Source organism: Homo sapiens, chromosome 14 (assembly GCF_000001405.40).
Source record: "Homo sapiens chromosome 14, GRCh38.p14 Primary Assembly".
Lineage (NCBI taxonomy): Eukaryota > Metazoa > Chordata > Mammalia > Primates > Hominidae > Homo > Homo sapiens.
In genome coordinates this window covers 88,097,405-88,104,780 of record NC_000014.9, presented here as the reverse complement: position 1 = coordinate 88,104,780, position 7,376 = coordinate 88,097,405, and positions in this window count along the sequence as shown.

Below are 7,376 nucleotides of genomic sequence, written 5' to 3'. Positions count from 1 at the left end.
GCAAACAAAGATTCAAATTTTTGGTGACCCGGAGGCTGAAGTGGAAACTAAAAGGTTAGGAATACTACATAACGAAATAACAGATGAAAACTTCTCAAGTCTAGCAGGAGATTTAGACATTCAGATACAGTAGGCCAAAGAAAAAGAAAGACTCCCATACAATAACTGTTGGCAATTTCAACAACCCGTCTTCAGCATTAGACAAATCATGTAGACAGAATATTAACAAAGAAATGGTTGATTTAGGGTGCACATTAGACCAAATGGACCTAATAGATATTTACAGAACATTTCATCTAACAGCTATAGAATACACATTCTTCTCATCAGCACATGGAACATTCTCCAGAATAGACCATATGTTAGGATACAAAACAAGTCTCAACAAATTTTAAAACTTGAAATTATATCAAATATCTTTTCAGACCCCAGTGGGATAAAACTAGAAAACAAAAACAAGAGGAACTTTGGAAACTGTACAAATATATAGAAAGTAAACAACATGCTCCTGAATATCCTTCGGGTCAAGGAAGAAACTAAGGAAGAAATAAACAAATTTCTTGAAACAAATGAAACAAAAGAAACAAATGATTTCTTGAAATCAAAACACAACTTGCAAAAACCTATGGGATACAGCAAAAGAAGTGCTGTATAAAGCTGTTAAAAAGAATATTATGCTTTTATTTATTATTTATAAATTGTGGTATACATATCTTTTATAATTTATAATAAAGATACAATGTATAATATACATAATTTTTTTAGAGAACAGTTACCAGCACACTGCTGGACAGATCTAGGTTTAAGTTACAAGAATTTTAAGTAAGTAATTTATTCTTTCTAAGCCACAGTGTCTGTCCACATTTGTACTCTATTATAGCAAGAAGTTACTAATATTATTTATTAGATAAGGGGTAGTGATATGGTTTGGCTATGTCCCCTGCCAAATCTCATCTTGAATTCCCATGTGTTGTGGGAAAGACCCGGTGGGAGGTAATTGAATCATTCAGGGAGGGCTTTCCTGTGCTGTTCTTGTGATAGTGAATAAGTCTCACGAGATCTGATGGTTATATTAAAAATGGGACTTTCCCTGCACAAGCTCTCTTCTCTTATCTGCTGCCATGTGAGATATGTCTTTCACCTTGCACCATGATTGTGTGGCTTCCCCAGCCACGTGGAACTGCAAGTGCAATAAACCTCTTTCTTTTGTAAATTGCCCAGTCTCAAGGATGTCTTTACGAGCAGCATGAAAACAGACTAATACAGGTAGCAAACTTTTTCTTTAAACAGCCAGAAAGTAAATATATTTGATTTTGTGAGCCATATTGTTCCTGTCACAACTATTCAATTCTGTCACTGTAGCATGAAAGCAGCCATAGACAATACATAAATGAATGGCTGTGGCTGTGTTCCCATAAAACCTTACTGTATAAACAGGTAGCAGGCTGCATTTGGCCCATGAGCTATAGATTGCTGAATCCTGCACTAGATTATACATTTCTTGAGAGTGAGAATTACGCCTATCTTGGTAAAACTTGTATCCTTAGAACTTGACACAGTTCTTAGCACACATAGCAAAAGATGAATTAATATTTGTTGAACTGTGAATAAAGAACAGCAGTAAAAATGAATGGACTAATGCTGCCTGAAACAACATGGTCAGCACTCACAAACGTCATGTTTAGCAAGAAAAGCCAGAGGCAAAAGAAAACATACTGCAAAGATCCATTTCTGTAAAGTTCAAAAACAGGCAAAACTGGACTCCTGCTTCCAGTCATGATGGGATAAGAGATTTAATTTACCCTACCACTTCAAGCAACTAAAAATGAAGACAAACTCTGTAATACAATAATTTATGACAATGGGAAAGAGGCAGCACTGGACTCGAACTTCCAAGAAAAAAAAAACAAATAAAGTGAGCCCTATAATCATTTCAGTTTAATTTCTAGATACAGTTTCTAGATTGCAGCACAGGATGGAGGAACTCAAACCCAAATCCTGGTTGTCTTGCTGAGTGAAGGACACAGGGCCAAGAATTTGGGAATCCAATGAGGCTAGAATTTGGAGACGAGGAAGATCAATAGAGAGCTCCAGAGATCTGTAGAGAAGTCCCCTTGTATCTTTGGTCGAGTAATTTTTTTTTTTTTTTGAGATGGAGTCTCGCTCTGTCGCCCAGGCTGGAGTGCAGTGGCACAATCTCAGCTCACTGCAAGCTCTTCCTCCCAGGTTCATGCCATTCTCCTGCCTCAGCCTCCCAAGTAGCTGGGACTACAGGTGCCCGCCACCACGCCTGGCTATTTTTTTGTATTTTTGGTAGAGATGGGGTTTCACCGTGTCAGCCAGGATGGTCTCGATCTCCTGACCTCGTGATCCACCTGCCTCGGCCTCCCAAAGTGCTGGGATTACAGGCGTGAGCCACCGCACCTGGCCTTTGGTTATTAATCTGCACGTAAGTGCAGAGGAAATTACCCTAGGTCAAGGAAAACAACACCAGAAAACACTAATGTAACCAATTTCTAGAATTCATACATGGCGAAGAAAAGCTTACGTTGCTATCACTGAGAATGGGAAGATATCATAATACATGGGACATTGGATAGAATCCTCAGAAGGGTGTAATATTAATAGTGGGCTGAATTAGCTCTAAAATAGTGGCTACTCTGGATCAACCTTAACATAGTATGATAGCAAGTCTGAAAAAGATCAAATTGATTTAAAATAAGTGCAAACCAGAATAAGGTCCAATATAATATTAAGCAATAAAACAAAATATCACACCTCAAAACCTAATATTTATGTAGATCAACTAATCAAAAATTACCAAGTATTTTCGGAAAATCAGGTCCATAGCAAGCGAAAAAACCTAGTCTGTAAAACAGACCCAGAAATGATATAAAACATGAAATTAATAAAAAATTAAACCAGCTTATAAACATGCCCCATTCATTGATTTAAGAAAAATGAGTAAAGCATAACCACAATGAGGAGAGAAATGGAAGTTATAAGAAGATTCAAATAGAGTTTCTAGTGATGAAAAATGTAATAGAAATAAAAAAGACTCTGGATGAGATTAACAGCAGATTAGATACCATAAAAAATAAGTGAACCCAAAGGTATAGCAATAGGAATTATCCAAAAAGAAGCATAATGAGAAAAAAATACTTAAAACAGAATAAACAGAGCATCGTTTTTCTGTATAAAAGCACTAAATGGTCTAAAATATATGTCATTGGAGTCCCAGGGTGGAAAAAACAAAACAAAAAAAGAGATGAAATAGTAAATGAACATTTTCCGTAAGAGATGAAATTTATAAAGCAATCCAAAAAGATAAATGAATCCCAAACAGAATAAGTATAAAAGAACCACCATGTTGTAATCAAATTGATGAAAATCAGTGATAAAGGGAATTTTATAAGCCGCCAGAGAAAAATAAACATTACAAACCAGATAAGACTGATGCCAGACTTTAAATCAGAAACTATGTAAATCAAAAGAAAATTGAGAAACATTTTTACTTCATGAGAAAGGGGTGGAGGGAACAAAACAAAAACAAACAAAATACTGTTAAATGATAATTCAATAACATGTAATAATATAAAAATGATTTTAAAAAGGAATTTTTTAATATAAAAGTGGAGCTTGAAGAATTCATTACCAGCAGGCTTCCAATGTAAGAAGGCTATGAAAAGGTCTTTGGCAGGAGGAAAATAATGGAAGAAATTTGGCTCTATGCAAAGAATTGAAGAATGTTGGAACAGGTAAATATACTGGTTAAATATAACAGACTTTTGTCCTAATTTTAAATTTTTTTTAAAAAATTCACTGCTTGAAACAACAATAATAACAATGTGTTGTGGAATTTATAACACCTATAGAAGTATACATATTAGGATAAAGGACAGGAGAAAGAAAATGGAATTATACCCTTGTAAAGTTGTTACAATATACGTGAAGCGGTTAAAGTAATATTTGGAGATAGACTATGTTAAGTCAAATATATGTATTTTAAGACCTAGAACAACCACTTAAAATAATAGAAAGCATAGTCATTAATAAGCTAATATCAAATATAAAATAATCATCCAAATGAAGGCAGAAAAAGAGGCAAATGGAAGAAAAAATAGAGATTAAACAAAAACTAGGTGGAAATATGGGGGTTTAAAACACAAGAATAATAGAAAGGATAAATAACTAGATGAAAATATGTGGTTTAAAACAAAAGAATGTTAAAAATTACATTAACTATAATTTTTTTTTTTGAGAGAGAGTCTGGCTTTGTTGACCAAGCTGGAGTGCAGTGGTGCAATTTTGGCTCACTGCCACCTCCGCCTCCCAGGTTCAAGTGATTCTCCTGCCTCAGCCTCCCGCGTAGCTGCCTGCCACCACACCCAGCTAAGTTTTGTATTTTTAGTAGAGACGGGGTTTCACTGTCTTGGCCAGGCTGGTCTCGAACTCCTGACCTCGTGATCCACCCACCTCGGCCTCCCAAAGTACTGGAATTACAAGCGTGAGCCACCTCATCTGGCCTTAAGTATAAATTTTATAAAAAACTTCAATTAAACTACAGAGATTGCCAGATTGAATTAAAAAACTAGTTGTAACTATATGCTCTCTGATTCTCCTATTAGCAATGATGAGAAAGAAAGTTTTATGGCCAGTATCTAGAAATCATGTATAGTGACTCTCTGCCTCTGCCTCACATGAGTTCACATAAAACATATACAAAAAAGTTCATCAGAAAAATACAAACTCATTTTTATTTACTTGGGTTTTGTCTTAAGCCTTTATGAGGAACCATCTACCCATGTGCCTGACATAGGTCTTATTTTTCTCCTTAGTACAAAGGCAATTAAAACAATCTGAGTGACTTCTTTGTTCTTGTTCTCCTATACCAGGAGTAGAAAAAGTATAGACTGCAGGCAAATGCTTTCCATCACCTGTTTTTTTACTACTATTCTATTGAATTATAATTCATATACCACATAATACAATCATTTTAAGTATATAATTTAATGGTCTTTAGTATATTCATAACGCTGTGTAACCATAATCACCATAATTAATTTTAGAACATTTTCATCACCCCCCAAAGAAACCCTGCACCCCTGAGTTATCACCCTCCAATCCCCACTTTTTTCTGCACCCCACGCTAGGCAATCACGAATTTGCTTTCTGTCTCTATAGATTTGCCTTTTCTGAACATTTCATATAAATGGAATCACACAATATGTGGACTTTTGTGTCTGGCTTCTTTCACTTAGCATAATGTTTTTAAATTCATCCATACTGTAGCATGATTCAGTATTTTGTTTCTTTGAATGGTAGAGTGATAGTCCATCATATAGATATACCACATTTTCTTTATCCATTCGTCAGTCGAAGAATATTTAGCTTGTTTCCACTTTTTGGCTATTATAAATAATGCTGCTATTAACATTTTTATACAAGTTTCTGTGTAAACCTTTGTTTACATTTCTCTTTGGTATATACCTAGGAGTGGAATTGTTGAGTCAAACAGTAATTTTAAACATAAAATTACAGTTATGTTTTAAACATAAAATTACAGGTATATACCCATTTTGAGGAGCTGCCAAAATGTTTTCTAAAGTGGTTCCTCTAATTTACATCTTATTAGCAAATTGAAGGATTCAAATTTCTCCAAATTCTCATCAATATTTGTTATTGTCTTTTTTTTATTGTAGCCATCCTAGTAGGTGTGAAGTGGTATCTCACTGTGGCTTGAAACAACTGGATATCTACAGGCAAAAGAATAAAGCCGAACCTCTATCTCACACCATATATAAAAATTAAGTCAAAATGGATCAAAGATCTAAATGCAACATCTAAAGCTGTAAAACTTGGATGGGCGTGGTGGCTCATGCCTGTAATCCCAGCACTTTGGGAGGCTGAGGCAAGAGGATCATTTGAGCCCAGGAGTTTGAGAACAGCCTGGCCAACAGTGAGATCCTTTCTCTAGCAAAAAAGAAAAAAAAAAAAAAAAAGAAAGCTGTAAATCTCTTAGAAGAAAACAGAGGTGTAAATCTTTGTGAACTTGATTTAAGCAATGGCTTCTTAGCTATAAAACCGAAAGTACAAGCAGAAAAAGAAGAAACAATAGATCAACTGGGGTTCAAGAAAATAAAAAAACTTTTTTGCTTCAAAGAACACTATCAAGAAAGTAAAAAGACAACCTATACAGTGACAGAAAATATTTGCAAATTGTATTTCGGATAAACAACTACTCCAGAATACATGTAGAATTCTTGCAGCGCAACAATAAAAAGATAATTAGTCCAGTTAAAACTTGGGCAAAGTGTTTGAACAGAACATTTCTCTAAAGAACATAAACAAATGGCCAATAAGCACATATAAAAGATGTACAACATTAGCCATTAGGGAAATGCAAATCAAAATCACAATGCAATATTATGACATACCCACTAGGGTGCCTAAAATACAAAAGCAGACATTAACAAGTGTTGACAAGGACGTCAGGAAATTGGAACCCTCATACATTGTTGACAGAATTGTAAAATAATGCAGCCATTTCAAAAAACAGTTTGGCTGTTCCTCAAATTGTTAAACATAGAGCCACTATTTGACCCAGCAATTTCACTCTAGGTTTATATCCATGAGAAATGAAAACCTGTGCCTACAGAAAAACTTGTACACAAATATTAAAAGCCATATTATTTATAATACTTAAAAAATGGAAAAACCTAAGCATCTATTAAATGATGAATGGACAAACAAAATGTGATATATTTGTGTGGTATATTATTCAGCTATACAAGGAATGAAATACTGAGAAATGCTACAACATGGATGGATTTTGAAAACATTATGCTAAGTGCAAGCAGCCAAATACAAAAGGCCACATATTGCATGATTTGGTTTATATAAAATATCCAGAATAGGCATATCCATGGAAACAGACAGTAATTTAGTGGTTTTCACGGGCTGGGAGCAGGGAGAAGGAAGAAAGACTGCTAATTGGTTTGGATTTTCTTTATGGGATTAAAAAAAAAAGAAAAGAAAAAGAAATCCTGAAATCAGATAGTGGTGATGGTTGCATTTTGTGGATATACTGAAAACCACTGAATTGTACACTTTAAAATAATGAATTTTACAGTAAGTGAAGTATGTATCGATGAAGCTATTAAAACATCTATTTATTAGCTCAAATTTCTACAGGTCAGAATTCTGGCATGGAGTGGCTGCATTCTTTGTTTAAGCTGAAATCAAGGTGTTGTTTGGCCGTGTTCTCACCTGAAGCTCAGAGTTCACTTCCAAGCTCATTTTTGTCCTTAGCAGAATTGAGTGTCTTGCAATTGTAGAACTGAGGTCTTGGCTTGCTGTCTGTCAGCAGGGGACTG